Source organism: Homo sapiens, chromosome 3 (assembly GCF_000001405.40).
Source record: "Homo sapiens chromosome 3, GRCh38.p14 Primary Assembly".
NCBI classification, from domain to species: Eukaryota; Metazoa; Chordata; class Mammalia; order Primates; family Hominidae; genus Homo; species Homo sapiens.
Genome location: NC_000003.12, coordinates 47387188 through 47407400, shown reverse-complemented (window position 1 = coordinate 47407400; position 20213 = coordinate 47387188). Strand labels below are relative to the sequence as shown.

Genomic DNA, 20213 nt, shown 5'->3' with positions numbered 1-20213 from the left:
AAGAGGGAACCAGGGCCACCCCCACAGACTCACTTTCCCCCAATGACATCCATAGTGAAGCGAAGCGCGTCTTGCACAGTGTCAGGCTGGCCCTGTGGGGTTAGGGACAGGGGTGGGGCCTTAGCACTAACCAAGGCTGGCACCAGGACACCCCCTCAGTCCTACCGGGCTTGCTCCTATACCCTCAGGGCAGCCAGGCCTTCCTCAGCTTTACCTTGGCCAACTTGATGGCTTCATTGAGCTTGTCCAGGGCGCTCTGGAAGTATGCAACCTGTGGAGGGTGGCAGGAAAGCCTGCTCTGTCCTCCTCTGCTTGGACCCTTTCTCCTCCTGCCTCCCACCCGGCCCTGCCTGTCCATCAGATGACAAGCAGCTCAGGAGGCAGCCGGGCACCACCCCAGCCAACAGCAGCAAGGTGGCGCCACACCCTGCCCCAGCCACCTGCTCTGTAGGGAGCCTGCCCCACCTCCTCAGACCCCGAGGGACGAGGGCTGCACAGATGGGACAACACTTAAGACACCAGGCCTCCAGCAGGGTGATGGCCAGGGTGAGACAGAGAAGGCCACCCCCTGGTGTGTAAGGAGCGGGAGCACACCGGCATCTCACTGAAGGCTGCCATTGGTCCCCAGTCCCCTCCTCGCTGTAGCTCACCCGCTCCCCGAACTTCTGCTGCTCCTCGGCCTGCTTTCCCATGTGCAGCTGGGAAAGAAGAAGAGACGCCACGACTTGCTTCCTGAGCTGTGGCCACTCAGCCCCGCCCTGCCCCGCCCTGGGGCCCCAGGCCCTCACATGAGCCACGGCTGCGAAGTAGTAGATCTTCATCTGCACAAGTTTCTTCCAGTCCTTCTGGATCCGGCCCAGCAGTGAGGCAGTGTCGGGGTTCTCCAAGGCCCGGCATGCCTCCTTGTAGTAATCTACCACCTGAGAACAGGGTGGGGCCCAATGAGTGGGGGAGTCAGCAGTAAAGTGAAGGCCTCCCCTCAGCCCCGTCCCTACCTGTGCACTGATGCGGGCCACCAGAAAGCTCTTCCTGTTGTCCAACATCGACTTCTCCAGGAGGCACTCCTGAGCCTGGCCCTGGGGCGACACGTGAGGTGCACTCCCTCGCTCACCCAAGGCCTCCCGCTTCCCCTTCCCTTTATCCTTCCCCAGGGGCAGACTGAGGGATCCCTCTTCACTGCCCTCTCCCCCAGCTGCCCCCACTCCAAGCAGCACCACGGTGCTCCTGATTCAACAAAGCCAAGGCCCCTTGCTTGTCCCTCACTGCCTTGGTCCAGGATCCAGGCCCAACTGCCCCCTCCCTGGCCATCCCCTTCCCTGGATTCAACTCCACTCCAACCAGGGCGCCTCCTCACCAGCATGAGGTTGACGTTGAGCGTAAGGATCTGGCGGCTCATGTCGACGCTGTAGGCTTGAGGGAAGTGCTCCCGTAGGTAGGCGAAGGCGCCGGCTGCGCACTGGAAATGGGTACAGGAGACCTTCATGCCCTGGGAGGGAGTGGGAGGATGGCCTGTGTCCACTCCATGGGTCAGGATTCATCCATACTTGGGAGGCTGCCCCTCCCTGGTATGTCCACATGTTCCACTACTGCCCCTCTCCTCACCTCCTCAGACACCCGCTTGTCCATGGCCCCCAGCATGGAGTGCAGCGCTCCTGGGGAGGGAGGGGACAGTGTTAGGGGCCTGGGGCTGCTCACACCCATGTGAAGGTGAGACAGAGGGGGCACTGCTGTTATCCACAATCAGGACAACATGGCTCTGAGAACCAGGGCAACGAGTCCAAGGACACCCAAGCTGGAGGGAACAGGGAAACTCAGAAGTCCTGCCCAGCCCTCAGTCTCCTGCTCTGCATTTGGCAGAGGATGGAAGGGCTCCTGTCCAAGGGGTCCAATCTTGAAGCTTCAGGGATGTTTGCACAGAACTCTGGGGCTCCCCAAGCTTCTCCCTTGAGCCAGGCTAAGGCTGACTAGCAGGGTAAGCTGAGGCCAGCCACACTCTCCTCCTGCCTGAAGCAGCCCAAAACCACAGTGGGGAGGGGCTGTCCAGTCAAAGAAGAAAGGCCCTCTCTCCCAGACAGAGCACACAGTGGCAACTCTGTGTGGCAGCCAGCCCAGTAGAGCCTCGCCCCAGCAGAGGCTCCCCACGGGCCCAGCCCAGAAAACAGTGGAGGAGCTGGCAGGGCTGTGGGGAGGTCAGTGGAGGGGCGGGAATCCTGGAGTCCTCCCTTTATCAGCCCACTGCCTTTGTGGCCATCTGAAGAGCTGAAAGCTAGGCTGGCAGGACTGGGGAGTAGGGCCGGGGGAAGGGATCAGGCAGCTCACCAAGGTTGTAGAGAATACAGGCCTGCTCGTACTTGATGTCCTCATGGGCCACAGACTTGCCTGAGAAGATCTCTGTCCTGCAGACATGGCACCCCAGTTATCTCGAGGGCAGGAGCTAGCCAGGGCCCTGAGATTAGGTAAGGGGACTAAACACCCCATTGTGGGGATGTGGGGAGGCCTGGGGGGACCATATGAGGCCATTCCCCATCCTATGCAGCAAGGAGAAGGGGGAAGGGAGGGGAGGAGCACCCCCACCACCCAGACTCCCCGTGGGATCCTCCAGCCCTGCCTGCGGCTCTCACCAGGTGACAGGGACAGCGGCCTCCTGGCCCGAGCCCATGGGGACCCGACTCTGCAGGTAATGAAGCTGGCCGAGGTACTTGCGGAGGACACTACAGCCCTCAAAGTCTCGTGGGACACGGACAGCATTCTGGGGGGCAGGATGGGAGAAGCAGGCCTGTTGTCATATGGGGCAGTGGACACGCAGGCCAGCTAACTCACAAATGCCAGGAAAATGCATCACAGCTGGCCGACTGCACACACCAAGGGATCCCAAAAAGTCCATGGCTATACCTATAGTCGTTCAACAAAACATTCCACAAGCCAGGGCTGGCAGCTGGCCGACTGAATCTATCCCACATAGTTTTTCCTTTTTTAAAAAAAAAAAAAAAAAAGAGTCTCATTCTGTCACCCAGGCTGGAATGCAGTATTCACTGCAACCTCCTGGGTTCAAGCAATTCTCCTGCCTCAGCCTCCCAATTAGCTGAGACTACAGGCACACGCCACCATGCCTGGCTAATTTTGTATTTTTAGTAGAGGCGGGGTTTCCCCATTTTGGCCAGGCTGGTCTCGAACACTTGACCTTGTGATCCACCCGCCTCAGCCTCTCAAAGTGCTGGGATTACAGGCATGAGCCACTGTGCCCAGCCCATCTCAAACATCTGAAAAGCAGTTTGCAACATGTTTTAAGTTTTTTACTCTACTTAACTTTTGGCCCACAGTTTTTTGAATTTAATAGAGACAGGGTTTTGCCATGTTGCCCAGGCTGTTCTCAAACTCCTGGGCTCAAGTGATCCTCCCATCTCTACCTCCCAAAGTGATGGGATTAAAGGTGTGAGCTGCCACACTCAGCATGACCTACAGTTCTGTATCTAAAAGTTTACAGTAACAGACTTCCAGGAAAGCAAATGCTTGGATATGAACGCAAGGATATTCATCACAGCATTATTACCAGGGTCAAAAACTGGACTCCAGGTCAGGTGCAGGGGCTCACACATGTGGTCCCAGCATTTTGGGAGGCCAAGGTGGGAGGATCGCTTGAGGCCAGGAGTTAGATACCAGTCTGGGCAATGTAGCAAGACCCTGTCTCAACAAAAAAGAATTTTAAAAATTATCTAGGCGTGATGGTGCCTTTGGTCCCAGCTCCTTGGGAGGCCGACGGGAAAAGATCGATTGAGCCTGGGAGGTTAAGGCTGCAGTGAGCTATGGTTGTGCCACTGTTTTCCAGCCTGGGTGATGAAGCAAGACCCTGTCTCTCAAAAAAAGCAAAAGGTAAAACTGGATACCCACCAAAATTCCCACTAAAGGGGACTGTTTTAAATTAATTATGTCAAGGCGCCTCACAAGAGAATATGCTGCAGCCATGAAAACTAAAGACAAGAGTCTCTAGTTACTCATATGTTAAGATGCCTATGGCATGCTATTGGGGGAAAAAAAAAAGAAAAGAATGTGGCCAGGTGCAGTGGCTCACGCCTGTAATCCCAGCACTTTCGGAGGCCGAGGCGGGAGGATCACGAGGTCAGGAGATCGAGACCATCCTGGCTAACACGGTGAAACCCCGTCTCTACTAAAAATACAAAAAATTAGCCGGACGTGGTGGCAGGCACCTGTAGACCCAGCTACTAGGGAGGCTGAAGCAGGAGAATGGCGTGAACCCCCGGGGGGCGGAGCCTGCAGTGAGCCGAAATCGCGCCACTGCACTCCAGCCTGGGCGACAGCGAGACTCCGTCTCAAAAAAAAAAAAAAAGAATGTAACAAATGGGATCATACAAATACTGATATCCAAATGGGTACACAGGCCAGGCAAGGTGGCTCACGCCCATAATCCTAGCACTTTGGGAGGCCAAGGCGGATGGATCACCTAAGGTCAGGAGTTCGATGCCAGCCTGGCCAACATGGTGAAACCCCGTCTCTACTAAAAATACAAAAATTAGCTGGGTGTGGTGGTGTGTGCCTGTAATCCCAGCTACTCGGGAGGCTTAGGCAAGAGAATCGTTTGAATCTGGGAGGCGGAGGTTGCAGTGAGCTGAGATCATGCCATTGCACTCCAGGCTGGGCAACAAGAGAAAAACTCTGTCTCAAAAGAAAAAACAAAAAAACCCACAAATAGGTACATAAACAAAAAGAAAATTCAGAAGACTGTACACCATAATGTTAACCGTGATTATCGCTGAATGACAGGATTTAAGTAATTTATCTTATTCTATATAAATAGATAGATATGGCTGGGCGAGGTGGCTCACGCCTATAATCCCAACACTTTGGGAGGCTGAGGCGGGTGGATCGCTTGAGCCCAGGAATTCGAGACCAGCCTGGGCAACGTGGTGAAACCCCGTATCTACTAAAAACACAAAAAGTAGCCAGGCATGATGGTGCGCACCTGTAATTCCAGCTACTCAGGAGGCTGAGGCAGGAGAATCACTTGAATCCGGGGAGCAGAAGTTGCAGTGAGCTGAGGTTGCACCACTGCACTCCAGCCTGGGTGACAGAGTGAGACTCGGTCTCAAATAATAATAATAATAATAAATAAATAGATAAATATGTATACATCTGACAGACATGTATTTAATTCTTCATATTGTTTATGTATTTATATTAAACATTTTCAATATTTATGATAAACAACAGAGCTATTATTTTGGGGGGAAAACAACAAAAAAATGAACCCTCTGCTTAAACAAACAGAAAAGCAAACAATACACCCTCCAAGGAGCAGGTGCACAGTGAGGGGGATGGCTTGACACCTGTCTGCCCTCAGCCCCCTGCAGAGAGGACCAGAGCCTCTCACTAGGACTTAGCCAGAAGAAATCCTCCAGGACACTCCACTCTGGGAGCTCGGCTCTGAGCTGCCAGCAGGGATGCTCTCAGATGGGGTACATACACCCTGGGGACAGTGGAACAGAAAAGTCAGGCACCAGTTGTACTCTACACCACTTCCCAGCAGTGTCTTGGGAGACTCTGAAACTCAGTCTCTTCTTTAAACAGGGATGATAATCTCCCTGGTAGTGAGGCTTCTAGAATGCCCAGTGCAAGGATAAGGCATGTCACAGCTGCAGCTCACAGCATTAGGCCAATGCTTCTCAAATCTAGTCATTCTTATCATACCCCTCCATCATGACCTCTGCCATATCCAAATACCACTTGTACTTAACATTTTTCTTTAAACAATCCATTTTTAAAATTAAGAGCCACATCCTAAGCAATAACAGCTCTAAAATCACAGGTGTGATGCGCTAGCCACACAGTTTTTTTCAATACTCACTAAAATAGCACATATAAAAGTATTGAAAAATCTTGGCCGGGCATGGTGGCTCATGCCTATAATCCCAGCACTTTGGGAGGCCAAAGTGGGAGGATCACTTGAGCCCAGGATTTTGAGACCAGCCTGAAGAACATGGCGAGACTCCGCCTCTACAAAAAATACAAAAATTGGCCAGGTGCGGTGATGCATACCTGTAGTCCCAGCTACTCAGGACTACAGGCTTGGGAAGGGGGAGAAGTGATTGAGCCTGGGAGGTGGAGGCTGCAGTGAGCCATGATCATGCCACTGCACTTCAGCCTGGGCAACAGAGTGAGACCCTATCTCAAAAAATAAAATAAAAGGCCGGACGCAGTGGCTCACGCCTGTAATCCCAGCAGTTTGGGAGGCCGAGGCAGGCGGATCACGAGGTCAGGAGATCAAGACCACCCTGGCTAACAAGGTGAAACCCTGTCTCTACTAAAAATACAAAAATTAGCCAGGCATGGTGACGGGCACCTGTAGTCCCAGCTACTTGGGAGGCTGAGGCAGAAGAATGGCGTGAACCCGGGAGGCGGAGCTTGCAGTAAGCCGAGATTGCGCCACTGCACTCCAGCCTGGGCAACAGAGTGAGACTCCATCTCAAAAAATAAAATAATAAAACAAAATAAATAAAATAAAATAAAATAAAAGCCGGGTGCTGTGGCTCACACCTATAATCCCAGCACTTTGGGAGGCCAAGGCGGGTGGATCACCTGAGGTTGAGAGTTTGAGACCAGTCTGGCCAACATGGAGAAACCCTGTCTCTACTAAAAATACAAAATATAGCTGGGCGTGATGGCGAGTGCCTGTAATCCCAGCTACTCGGGAGGCTGAGGCAGGAGAATCGCTTGAACCCTGGAGGCAGAGGTTGTGGTGAGCCGAGGTTGTGCCATTGCACTCCACCCTGGGCAATAGGAGTGAAACTCTGTGTCAAAAATAAATAAATAATAAAATAAAATTTGTCTTGTACTTCCTAAAACCATCTTTGGGAAACAATGGAAGCAGTCTCCCCTCCAGATCCAAGAGATCACCTGTACCCTTTAATCCACCCAAGAATGCAGCCCCCTGTGGTTCTAGCCTGGTCTGTCAGACTCTCAGACGAGCTGCGCAGAGCCGCACAGAGGAGTCTGAGAGAGAGCTTGATGCTGTGATGCCCCCATAGCATCCCCTGCACCTGTCAGTTTTATTCCCTGTAATCACAGAGCCAAGAATTTATTTCAGAGTTTAAAAAGGAAAGTCTTCCTAGAAACAACTATTCAAACCCTGGTTTTACAGATGAGGAAACTGAGGCTCAGATCAGGGAAAGAGGACTGCCTAAAGCTTCCAATAACTTTTTCACTGAAAGATTATTATCAACGTCCTATGTAAGAAAATTTGTTCTGGGGTTTCACAAGTATAAGGAACAGTGATCTAGACTAGGCGTGGTGACTCACGCCTGTAATCCCAGCATTTTCGGAGGCTGAGGCAGAGGATTGCTTGAGGCCAGTAGTTTAAGACCAGCCTGGGGAATATACGAGACTCCATGTCTACAAAAAATACAAAAATTAGCCAGGCATGGTGGTGCATACTTGTCCCAGGTACTCAGGAGGCTGAGGTAGGAGGATCGCTTGAATCCAGGAGGCAGACGTTGCAATGAGCCAAGATAGACTGCACCCCAGCCTGGGTGACAGAGTGAGACTCTGTCTTTAAAAACAAAAACAAAAAAAACAGTGATCTAGTCCAACTCCCACATTGCTGGGATAAATTAAACCAAGTCCCAGGAAGGGGAAGTGGCTACCCCAGATGGCCATGTGTGAGCTTTTTTCGCACTGGAAAAGCACAGGTCTGAAGGCTGCTGGCTCACAGCTCTCTCAGGGGCTGCTCTACCCAGCCCATTGCTCTGTGCAGGTTGCCTGCCTTATGCTTTGGAGGATATGTCTCAGAGGATGCTTTGGAGATTGGTGGTAATGCTCCTTCTAGGGTGTGTTGCGTCCTTGTGTGTAGTGTGTGCCTGTGTGTGCAAAATGACGGTTGCCCCAGGGGCTAAGATTATCTCACTAGTTTTCAAACTTTGTTCAAATAAACCCTTTTTAAAGATTCAACTTATGAGGAGGGTTCTGAGAAGACAGCATAAGAAGAAGCTTGGTCTCCCCACCAAGACAAGCTGCACTGGCAGAATCTGACTTAACTCTGGAGTCTATTAAAGGCTTGCAACTTCTAGGCAAAGGCTTTGACAGTACAGCTCACTGCCATTAATTTTGGTCAATTTCAGCCCCTACCATAGTAGCAGCCACCCATCCCCCACCCCCAGCACCAGTTCCAGGAGCAGCTTGTGGGAGCCAGCATGGACAAAAAGGACTCTGTCCTCCAAATACAGGAGATCTTGCTGATTGCTGCTTCTGATCACAGAGGTACAGAGAAAGAGGCAGCTCCTCCACTATTGCACCTCCCTCCACGGCTGTAAGCTTCTTCACCTCTAGCTGAAGGAACTTCCAAGGGATCTAAAGGCCTGGCATCTTTTCCCTTCTTCATTTTTCTCTTTTTCCTCCTTTGGGAGGCAGACACTAAAGAGTAAGATGTTCAAAAGCAACCACATATATAGGGCAAATGAGAAAGTCTGCACATGTGCAGGGAATGGTACAGGCTCAGAAAAGACCTGTGAAGACCTTAAGTTTACAAGGCCGGGTGCTGCGGCTCATGCCTTTAATCCCAACACTTTGGGAGGCTGGGGCCAGAAGATCACTTGAGCCCAGGAGTTTGAGACCAGCCTGGGCAACACAGGGGAACCCCATCTCTACAAAAAATTTAAAAATTGGCTGGATGCGGTGGTGTGCACTTGTAGTCCCAGCTACTTGGGGGCTGCAGTGGGAGGATGGTTTGAACTGGGGAGATGGAGGCTGCAGTGAGCCGTGATTGTGCCACTGCACTCCTGCCTGGACGACAGAGCGAAACCCTGTCTCGGGAAAAAAAAAAAAAAAACTTTAAGTTTACATTTCAGGCTGATTCTTGGCACAGGGGTAGCCTACAACAATCAAAAACACACAAAAAAACCCAGCAAATCCCGGGGAAGGGGGAGAATCTGATATCCAGAGATATGACATCATTCGATTCTTTTTTAATTTCCTTCAAGAATTTTTTCTTTGCATTCCTAACTTGGTGATCTGGTGCAAGAGGCCTAGCTTTTGGCCTATCTCAGTTTTTCACGTGCCTTCCTTACTAAGTGTAATAATTTCTAGCTTTTCTTTTTTGAGACAGTCTCACTCTGTTGCCCAGGCTGGATGCAGGGGTGCGATCTTGGCTCACTGCAACCTCCACCTCCTGGGTTCAAGTAATTTTCCTGCCTTAGCCTCCCTAGTAGCTGGGATTACAGGCATGCGCTGCTACCATGCCCGACTAATTTTTGTATTTTTCGTAGAGAGGGGGTTTCGCCATGTTGGCCAGGCTGGTCTCGAACTCCTGATTTCAAGTGATCCACCTGCCTCAGCCTCCCAAAGTGATAGCATTACAGGCGTGAGCCACTGCACCTGGCCTTGTACTAATTTTGAATAACTGACATAGAAAATATCTTCACCAGGCGGGGCGCGGTGGCTCACACCTGTAATCCCAGCAATTTGGGAAGCCGAGACAGGTGGATTACCTGAGGTCAGGAGGTCGAGACCAGCCTGGCCAACATGTTGAAATCCTGTCTCTACTAAAAATACAAAAAATTAGCCGGGCGTGGTGGTGGGCGCCTGTAGTCCCAGCTACTTAGGAGGCTGAGACAGGAGAATCACTTGAACCTGGGAGGTAGAGGTTGCAGTGAGCTGAGATCGCGCCATTGCACTCCAGCCTGGGTGACAGAGTAAGACTAGGTCTCAGAAAAAGAAAAAAGAAAATATCTTCACTCAGTAGACTAAATGAAAATGTATCCAAAAATTTACTGATGGGTAGTATACTGGCAATAGTTGCTAGTACTGCTGGGTTATTGCAAGGATTGGTATGTGGTCCATGATAGACAAGAAAACACTAACAGCTACTGATTTCTATGGCATGTATCTACATTACTGGTACTCAAGTTCAGCCATGCCAGTGCAGACTCTTACCCTTCTAACAAAAACATAAGGGAAAACATGTTGTTATCCAATAGTACATACAATAATCAGGAAAAAAATACAGCATACCTCATTTTATTGCACTTCACAGGTGCTGTGTTTTTTACAGACTGAAGGTTTGTGACAATTCTGCATCACACAGGCCTGTCGGCACCATTTTTCCAGCAGCATGTGCTCATTTCATGACTCTGTGTCACATTTTAGTAATTCTCACAATATTTCAAACTTTTTTATTATATATCTGTTATGGTGATCAGTGATCAGTGATCTTTGATGTTACTATTATAATTGTTTTTGGTGCCATGAATTGCACCCATAGAAGACGGCAGACTTATAAATGTTCCGTGTGTTCTCACTGCTTCACTGGCTGGCCTTTTCCTGCCTCTCTCCCTCTCCTCAGGCTCCCTATTCCCTGAGACACAATAATATTGAAATTAGGCCAATTAATAACCTACAATGGCCTCTTAAGTGTTTAAGTGAAAGGAAGAGTCACACATCTTTCACTTTTGTTTTGTTTTCTAAACAGTCAGGGTCTCACTTTGTCACTCAGGCTGGAGTACAGTGGTATGAACATGGTTGGCTCACTGCAGTCCCAACCTCCTGGGCTCAAGTGATCTTCCCTCCTCAGACTCCTGCGTAGCTGGGGACATAGCTGTGCACCATCATGCCTGGCTAATTTTTTTTGTTTTCTATAGAGACAGGGCCTCACTATGTTGAGGCTGGTCTCAAACTCCTGGGCCTGAACTCCAGGAGGAACCAATCCTCCTGCCTTGGCCTCCCAAAGTGCTGGGATCATAGGCATGAGTCACACATCCAGCTGTCTTTCACTTTACATCAAAAGCTAGAAAGGGCCAGGTGGTTTCTTTTTTGTTGTTTTTGAGATGGAGTCTCGCTCTATCACCCAGGCTGGAGTGCAGTGGCATGATCTCAGCTCACTGCAACCTCCACCTCCTGGGTTGAAGCAATTATCCTGCTTCAGACTCCTGAGTAGCCGGAACTACAGGCACATGACACCACACCTGCCTAATTTTTGTATTTTTAGTAGAGATGGGGTTTCACCATGTTGGCCAGGCTGGTCTCAAACTCCTGACCTCAAATGATCTGCCCACCTCGGCCTCCCAAAGTGGTGGGATTATAGGCGTTGAGCCACCATGCCCAGCCTAGGCAGTTTCTTTATCTCCCTATCAAACCAATCCTGTCTACCCATGCATAAAAAGATAATACTATCCTCCTACCTGTCTGAGCAACTCCAGCTTCTTCAGTTCTTCATTGTAGGCTTCTGGGTTCTCTCCATAATTCTTCAGGACAAACTACAGAGAGAGAAGAACATAAGCCAGTGGCAGAGAAGACCCCCGCCTTGCCCTCTGAGTCCTGGGCAAGCACCAACCAGGACTCAGGATTAAGTGCAGACCTACAACCATAAGCGTGTCTCCTGGACCACCAGGAACTTCGCCTCCTGAACAGGCAGCACCAAAATGCTGACCACGAGAGCCGTGACCCTGCACCAACACTCTGGCAGGTCCTCCTAACGCTGCAGTCTCTCTACAAAGTCCAGGAGTCTGCCAGCTCAGGAAGCCAAGGAACTCAGCGGACTGAAATGGGGTCCTAATAAGGATTCCAGAAAGGGTCACGAACTCAAGCCTCCCTAGAAGATTGGGCCCTGCTGCGTTGTGGGGTGACTACCATAACCCTAAGCTGATAGCAACTGCAGGCAAGAGGCACCAAACAAGAGTGGGAACAGAAAGCCTCTCTCACCAACCCATTCTCCTGGCCTGGGAAAGGACAGCATAGAAACATGTGATCTGCAGTGTCCTCATCTGTGAGGAAAGACTTGCAGCTGTGTGAGGAGAATGGCCCAGGTGGGAGAAGGTGAGAAGGGGAGGTCACTACCCACATCAGAGAGAGCACTGGAGTGCCTGTCCACAGTGGCACTCACCACCTCCAGAGCAGACTGTCTTGGACAGTGAGCATACACACCCACCTGGAGGCACAGGCTTAGCCCAAAGGGCCCCCTGTTCAACTCAGATCACCAGACTAAGGCAACTGCAACTGTCCCTGTTGCAGTACTTGCTGCTGGTGTCTTGGCTAGCAATCTGGGAGGCCAGATCCACTCACGCCACAAACACTATGAGCACTGATACCCACCTCACAGGGCTCCTTAAGGCCATGACCAAGGTTTGCAAGGTAGAGAGAGGTGGCTGAGAAAGGCTGAGATGAGGCAGCCTGCTCTGTCTGGGAGCACACTCACTCACACCATGTGTGTGGCCCACCCATCTTTCCTGAGGTCCCTTCCCAGGACCCAGGATGCATAGCTAAGGAATCAGCCACATGGGAACCGGGAAGCCTGGGTGACAGCTTCTGTCTGCCTGGTGAGCAAAGGGAGAAGAGGAACAGATGGCAGGGAGGCGACAGCTGAGCTAATTACAGCATCAAGCAACCCTTTCCCAAACCTCTGAGTCTAACCCTGGTTCTTCTGTTGGTTTCAGCTCCTGAAAGTCCCTGTGTCCATAAGCTCTTTTCTCTCTCCCCATGCCACCTCTGTCCTGGACAACCCACCCCTTCAAATCCGTCCCTTACCAAGTGGCCAGAATTGTTATTTCTAGCACAACTCTGAGGTCACTTCCAGCTTTAAATCCTTCTGAAACACACACACACCCTTAGGGAGAAGATAGACCAAAACATGCTTATCTCAGGACAGTGAGATGATAGGAAATGATATATAATCTAAAAAGAATGTGTGCAGTAGCTTCCCAAAGCCTCTAGGACCAAATCTAATTTTGGCACAGAGTTTATGACCCTGCACAACCTGTTCCTGGCCGGGTGAGGTGGCTCAAGCGTGTAATCCCAACACTTTGGGTGGCCAAGGTGGGAGGATCACTTCAGGTCAGGAATTAGAGATCAGCCTGGGCAAAAGAGCAAGACCCGTCTCTACAAAAATAAACAACCTGCTCCCCACAACCTTCAAGGATTTTCCTCTGGCACCTCCCAGGGACAACCAGCCAATAGTACTTGGGAATTGCTGCTCTCAGGTATCAATGCCTATCTACATTGTCCCTACTTTCTCTACTAAGACTCAGCCGAAATGTCACTGCCTTGAACATTAGCTGCTCTTCCGCTCACATTCCAAACATGCCTCCAACATACTGTGTGCCGACGGCAGGGTCATGCCAGTGACCCCAGCCTCAAACAATAAGCATTAAGGAATGGTAGGGGCCTTATCAGATGTGTTGTATACTCAGCAAATGATTGCTTTTACAGGAAATGCAGAGGACAGATGAACACGAAAAGGAAACACTCAGAAAAATTCAGAAAATGGGGCAACAATGAACCCACTCTCTTCAAAAAATTAATGTCATGTAAAAGGAGGGGGTTGAGCAGTGGACTATTCTAGATTAAAAATGATTAAACAGGTTGGATATGGTGGCTCAAGTCTGTAATCCCAGCACTTTGGGTGGCTGAGGTCAGAGGACTGTTGAGCCCAGGAGTTCCAGAGCAGCCTGGGCAACATGAGACCCTATCTCTACAAATTAAAAAAAAAAAAAAAAATTAGCTGGGTATGGTAGCCCACGCCTGTAGTCCCAGCTACTCAAGAGGGAGAGGTGGGAGAATCAGCCTGGGAGGTTGAGGCTGTGGTGAGCTGTGTGCACACTCCAGTCTGTTTCCAAAAATAATAATAATAATAATAAATAAACAAATAAATAAGTGATTAAAGGGACAGAACACAACTAAATGCAATATGAGAACCCCAGCTGGATCTGAGTCTGCAAAAAAAAGGAAAAGTCATAAAAGATAGGGGAAAATTATTGTAGATTTTCTTAGGTATGATAATAACATTGTGATTGTGTAGAATGTCCTCACTCTTAGGAAACACATGCTGAGATGTGTCCGGGAAAAGTGATGTCCAAAACTTACTTTCAAAGGGCTTGTGGGATCTCTCTCTATCTATCTATCTATCTGGAGAGAAAACAAATAAGGTGAAATACATCCATCAAAACTAGGTAGCCGGGCACAGTGGCTTATGCCTGTAATCCCAACACTTTGGGAGGCCAAGGCAGGTGGATCACTTGAGGTCAGGAGTTCGAGACCAGCCTGACCAACATGGTGAAACCCCATCTCTACTAAAAACACAAAAATTAGCCAGGCATGGTGGTGGGCACCTGTAATCCCAACTTCTCAGGAGGCTGAGACAGGAGAATCGCTTGAACTCAGGAGGGGGAGGTTGCAGTGAGCTGAGATTACAACACTGCACTCCAGCCTTGGCCACACAGCAAGACTCCATCTTAAAAAAACAAAACAAACAAACAAAACTAGGTAACACACTGGGTGCAGTGGTTCACACCTGTACTTCCAGCACTTTGGGAGGCCGAGGCCAGAGGATCACTTGACCCCAAGAGTTCAAGGCCAGACTGGGCAACATAACAATAAATCCCATCTCTACAAAAATTTAAAAATGAATCAGCCAGGTGCAGCGCACATCTGTAGTCTCAGCTACTCCAGAGGCTGAGGCAGGAGGATCACTTGAGCCTAGCAGTTCAAGTCCAGCCTGGGCAACAAAGAGTAAATCCCATCTCTAAAAACAAAACAAAACAAAAATACTAGATAGTGAGAATTTGGGTGAGCACTGAATTATTCTTCCAATTTTTCTATATGTTTGAAATTTGGAAAACAAATGTCTTAAGAGTTGCTGAAGAGCTAAATGGTACCTGAATACCACTTTCCCCTATCAGTGGTTTTTATTTAGCCTTTTGTGGGTCCTTTGAGAATATGATAAAAGCCATGAATTAAATCCCCCTAGAAATTTTCAACTATGCACAAACATAAGGATTTACCAAGAACTTTAGGGAGCTGACAGGCATTTAACAATCTTCACTCTGATCTATCCAACTCCACCCCCTCTCCACTCCCTCCCTCAAAAATAATTATGACAACAACAACAACAAAAACACAACTACAAAAAGTGGCCTTGGGTTGGGCATGATGGCTCATGACTATAATCCCAGCACTTTGGTAGGCTGGGGTGAGAGGATCACTTGAGGCTAGGAGTTCCAGACCAGCCTGGGCAATATGGCGAGACCCCCATCTCTACGAAAAAAAATTTAAAAATTAGCCAGGAGTGGTGGTGCATGCCTGTGGTCTCAGCTAGTTGGGAGGCTGAGGCAGGACTGCTTAAGCTCAGGAGTTTGAAGCTGCAGTGAGCTATGATGGCACCACCTTACTTCAGCTGGGGTGTCAGAGTGAGACCCTGTCTGTATTAAAAAATAAAAATAGGCCAGGCACAGTGGCTCATGCCTGTAATCCCAGCAGTTTGGGAGGCCAAGGTGGGCCGATCGTTTGAGCCCAGGAGTTCAAGACAAGCCTGGGCAACATGGCAAAACCCCATTTCTACAAAAAGCACAAGAATTAGCCACGTGTGGTGGTGTGCGCCTATACTCTTGGCCAGTTGGGAGGTTGAGGTGAGAGGACTGCTTGACACCAGGAGTTCAAGGTTGCAGTGAACCATGATTGTGCCACTGCACTCCAGCCTGGGTGAGAGTGTGACACTATCTCAAAAATAATTAATTAACTAAAATATTTTTTAAAATGTGGCCTAAGCTATGAGGTAAAACTTGACTATATGAGAGAATGTTCTGTGGTTAACTCCCTTGCAGTAAGAGGTTTTGCCCACCCTTAGGTTAGAGAAAATGAGTAAAAGTGTAGCTCAGAGGTCTCGTGGGATAGAGGCCAAAGGAATCAGATGGACAGGAGACTCCTACATCCTAGAAACAAGGCTTCCCGTGATATCACTAGGAACATCTGACCCTGCTGTTCACACAATGGTGACAGAAAGATGCTGCTCCCACCCCTAGCAAATCATGCCTAGAGGTCACATTCTATCTGAATCTCATCTCCGTCCTCCTATAAGATCAGCAGCAGATGCTTAACTGAGAACCTACCACAGGTCAGGCACTGTGCTGAGTGCCTAGTAATCACTCCATCCTTAGAACAACCCTAAGAGGTAGACACTATTATCATCACCACTTTACAGATGAGGAAATGAGGAAACTGAGGCAAAGAGTTAGGGTATTCACCAAGGTCACGGTGCTAATAACTGATGGGGATATGACTGAAACCCAGGCATTTGGGCTCCAGAGCCCATGTTCTTTCCATATTAGACCATTCCATTTCTATTTAAATTGTTTTTAGTTTATTTTTTATTGTTTTATTTTATTTTCGAGACAAGGTCTTGTTCTGTTGCCCAGGCTGGAGTTACAGTGGTACTGCAACCATAGCTCACTGCAGTCTCAAACTCCTGGGTCCAAGTAATTCTCCTGCCTCAGCCTTCCAAGAAGCCGGAACTACAGGCACATACCACCATACTCAGCTAATTTTCTGTAGAGGTAGTGTCTTGCTATATTGCCCAGGCTGGTCTGGAACTTCTAGCCTCAAGCAATCCTTCTGCCTCAGACTCCCAAAGTGTTGGGATTACAGACATGAGCCATCACGCCCAAACTTTTTTTTATTTTATAGAGATGGGAGTCTCACTATGTTGCCCAGTCTGGTCTTAAACTCCTGGGCTCAAGCAGTTGACCCACATCAGCCTCCCAGAGCATTTCTATTTTTTAAAAATATGGTTCTTACAAACAACTCTGAAAAACAGGCACAGAAAATGAATCCCTGGCCACACAGTGAGTCAGTGGAGCAGCCAGGATATTTATGTTATTATTATTATTTGCAGCCTGTTAGAAGCAAAAGGATGTTTTTAAAACCCTAACAAAATCCTCTGTGACTGCTGATCACTCCTCCACTAAAAAAGAAGAAAGAGGCTGGGTGAAGTTCCTGGAGTAAGGGACAGAGACCTTGTCCCCATTTCGCTATGGTCTGGGACTCTGCAGAACTCGGAACAGTCTAGCGGGAAGTATGAAGCTCCAATGGAGGCTGAGAAGGCAGGCCCAGCAGCAGACGAGGAGAAAGAACCAGAGGCCCTGACAGGACCCCAGTACCTACACAACTAACAGGAAGAAGACCAGAGAACCTCCAAAAACAGCCAGGCTTTGAAGTAGCTGGGGATCCTTTTCTGAAGGAATAAAAGAAGACCCGTGGAGAGCTCTCAGTGAGGGCACGTCCAGGGATCACAGCCACCGAGGGGAAAAAGAAAAGAAAGGAGTTACCAGATTACAAGTGGGAAACAGTGCCCCTGAGTTGCTGTGAAATCTGGGCTTGGTTTTTGTTTTTTGTTTTTTTAAATTGTCTTGCTCTGTCAGGCAGGCTGGAGTGCAGTGGTACTATCATAGCTCAATGAAGCTTCAAACTCCAAGTGATCCTCCCACCTCAGCCTCTTGTGTGGCTAGGACTACAGCTGTGTGCCACCATGCCCAGCTATTTTTTTTTTTTTTTTTTTTTGAGACGGAGTCTCGCTCTGTTACCCAGGCTGGAGTGCAATGGCGCCATCTCGGCTTACTGCAACCTCCACCTCCTGGGTTCAAGCAATTCTCCTGCCTAAGCCTCCCAAGTAGCTGGGACTACAGGTGCATGCAGCCATACCCAGCTAATTTTTGTATTTTTAGTAGAGATGGGGTTTTGCCATGTTGGCTAGGCTGATCTCGAACTCCTTTTTTTTTTTTTTTTTTTTTTTGAGACGGAGTCTCGCTCTGTTACCCAGGCTGGAGTGCAGTGGTGCCATCTCAGCTCACTGCAAGCTCCACCCCCCCGGGTTCACGCCATTCTCCTGCCTCAGCCTCCTGAGCAGCTGGGACTACAGGCACCCGCCACCACGCCTGGCTAATTGTTTGTATTTTTAGTGGAGACGGGGATTCACCGTGTTAGCCAGGATGGTCTTGATCTCCTGATCTCGTGATCCACCCGCCTCGGCCTCCCAAAGTGCGGGGATTACAGGCGTGAGCCACTGCGCCAGGCCCTGGTCCCGAACCCTTGACTTCGTGATCCACCCGCCTTGGCCTCCCAAAGTGCTGGGATTACAGGCGTGAGCTACCATGCCTGGCCCCAGCTAATTTTTATTTTTATTTTGTAGAGACAGGGGTCTTGCTATGGTGCCCAGGCTGGTCTCGAACTCCTGGCCTCCAGCTATCCTCCCACCTCGGCATCCCAAAGCGCTGGGATTACAGGCATGAGTCACCATGCCCAGCCTAGGCTTGGCTTTTTTCATGTGTAAAATGGGGTTAATATCACTTGCTACGTCTAGCTCAGAGCTGTCATAAGGATTCGAGTTATTTCCCAAACAGGGAAGGAAGATGCTCAGGTGAAAATATTGTTTACAATAGGCCAAGACCTGTACTAAGAACTTAACAAGCATTAGAACGACAAACTCTGCATGTTCTCACTTTTTTGTGGGAGCTAAAAATTAAAACCACTGAATTCATGGAAACCGACAGTAGAATGATGAATACCAGAGGCTGGGAAGGGTAGTGGGAGTGGGGTGGGGGAGTGGAGTGGGAATGGTTAATGAGTACAAAAATATAGTTAGATAGAATGAATACAATCTAGTATTTGAGGCTGGGCGTGGTGGCTCACACCTGCAATCGCAGCACTTTGGGAGGCCAAGGCGGGTGGATCATCTGAGGTCAGGAGTTCGAGACCACCCTGTCCAACATGGCAAAACCCAGACTCTACTAAAAAGACAAAAATTAGCTGGACATGATGGCAGGTGCCTGTAATCCCAGCTACTCGGGAGGCTGAGGCAGTAGAAACGCTTGAACACGGGAGGCGGAGGTTGTGGTGAGCCGAGATTGTGCCACTGTACTCTAGCCTGCGTGACAAGGCGAAACTCTGTCTCAAAAAAAAAAAAAAAAAAGATCTAGTAGTGACAGCAAAACAGGGTAACTATAGTCAGCAATAATTTATTACATTTAAAAATAAAAGTATAATTGGATTGTCTGTAACACAAAGAAAGGATAAATGCTTGTGGTAATGGATACTCCATTTACCCTGATGTGATTACTATACCTGTTTGGCCATATCAAGTACCCCATTAATTTTTGTGGGTACATAGTAGGTGTATATACTTATATACCTACTTAAGCCCAGGTGTTTGAGACCAGCCTGCGCAACACAGTGAGACCTTATCTCTAAAAAAAAATAAGCAAAATTAGCAGAGTGGTGCGTGCCTGTGGTCCCAGCTATTCAGGAGGATGAGGTGGACGGACCACTTGAGACCTGGAGGCAGAGGCTGCAGTGTGCCAAGATCGTGCCTTTGCACTCCAGCCTGGGTGTTACAGCAAGACCCCATCTCTAAAAAAATAAAAATAAAAAAGAACTTAGAAGCATTAATTTTGATTCTCAGAAGCTTATGAGGTATATTATTAGTTCCATGTTTCAGGTAAGAAAAGTGAGGACTACATTAGTTATGTAATCTTTGTGACAGCTCAAGATCATTCAGCTATTAAAGGAATGAGAGGGGACCTAAACCAAGGTCTGATTCCAATAGCTATGCTATTTCCATGATGCTACTCTGCTATTTTACTGAGCACCAAACAGTAGAGAATTTTGTAGCTAGGTGAGATCACTGGAAACAACCATCCTGGTCCTGCCATGATTTTGCAGATTAGAGAAAGGGCAAACCACAGATAAGCAATGATAGTGCTAGGACCCCAAGACAGATTTCCTGACTCCAGACCTAATATTAATCCCTCTGTGTCACCTTCTCTTGTACTAGTATGTTCTCATTCTTCTATGTATGCTTTGCTCTTAATTTAACATTTGGAATTTCATCATGCTAATTAAAGCAATAAGACAAGAAGAAAAGGCAATTAAAAGGCATCACATGTGTTAGTTTTACCTTTATTCACCAGTTACATTATGTTTCTTTTTTCTCCAGTTCCAGAGTTGACTCAAATGTAGGGCATTCCTTGGGCTACTCTAAGAAACAAACTTTTTTTTTTTTTTTTTGAGACAGGGTCTCTGACACCCAGGCTGGAGTGGCGAGATCTTGGTTCACCACAGCCTCGACCTCCTGGGCTTAAGCCATACCCCCCACCTCAGCCTCCTGAGTAGCAGGGACTACAGGTGTGTGCCACCACACCACGCCTGACCTTTCTTTTTTTTTTTTTTTTTTTGTAGAGACAGGGTCTTGCTTTGTTGCCCAGGTTAGTCTCAAACTCCTGGTCTTGACTGATCCTCCTGCCTTGGCCTCCCAAAGTGCTGGGATGACAGGCATGAGCCAACGTGCCTGACCAGTATTGTTAATTAATACAGTATATGTTCAGCTACTAAATTTCAAATGAGACTAATTATATTCAGAGAATGGCGTATTGCCAAGTGAAATCTTCAGC

General features: G+C 48.7%; 1 protein-coding gene across 3 annotated transcripts in view, besides 3 other annotated features; it reads right to left on the bottom strand.

Annotated features, from left to right (window-relative positions):
• PTPN23 (protein tyrosine phosphatase non-receptor type 23) overlaps positions 1–20213 on the bottom strand; it is a 32415-nt gene that overhangs the window by 6035 nt on the left and 6167 nt on the right. The window contains exons 2-11 of one of the 3 annotated variants that reach the window (NM_015466.4): positions 11184–11258; positions 2622–2749; positions 2320–2396; positions 1603–1652; positions 1355–1486; positions 996–1076; positions 789–920; positions 651–698; positions 215–271; positions 34–92 (exon numbers count right to left, since the gene is read on the bottom strand). In NM_015466.4, coding sequence (NP_056281.1) covers positions 34–92; positions 215–271; positions 651–698; positions 789–920; positions 996–1076; positions 1355–1486; positions 1603–1652; positions 2320–2396; positions 2622–2749; positions 11184–11258 — 839 coding nt within the window. The remainder of the gene's footprint in view (positions 1–33; positions 93–214; positions 272–650; positions 699–788; positions 921–995; positions 1077–1354; positions 1487–1602; positions 1653–2319; positions 2397–2621; positions 2750–11183; positions 11259–20213) is intronic. The other 2 variants (XM_005265031.3, NM_001304482.2) reach the window with 2 other exon arrangements.
• Positions 896–1761: an enhancer, noted in NCBI's record as "H3K4me1 hESC enhancer chr3:47447130-47447995 (GRCh37/hg19 assembly coordinates)". NCBI's record gives its function as "activates a minimal SCP1, AML or CMV promoter by ChIP-STARR-seq in primed H9 embryonic stem cells {active_cell/tissue: H9 hESC(primed)}" and the evidence as "EXISTENCE:reporter gene assay evidence [ECO:0000049][PMID:30033119]".
• Positions 1955–2454: an enhancer, noted in NCBI's record as "H3K4me1 hESC enhancer chr3:47446437-47446936 (GRCh37/hg19 assembly coordinates)". NCBI's record gives its function as "activates a minimal SCP1, AML or CMV promoter by ChIP-STARR-seq in naive H9 embryonic stem cells {active_cell/tissue: H9 hESC(naive)}" and the evidence as "EXISTENCE:reporter gene assay evidence [ECO:0000049][PMID:30033119]".
• Positions 8688–8869: a silencer, noted in NCBI's record as "fragment chr3:47440022-47440203 (GRCh37/hg19 assembly coordinates)". NCBI's record gives its function as "represses an EF-1alpha promoter that drives an FKBP-Casp9 reporter gene in an ReSE screen in HepG2 liver carcinoma cells {active_cell/tissue: HepG2}" and the evidence as "EXISTENCE:reporter gene assay evidence [ECO:0000049][PMID:32094911]".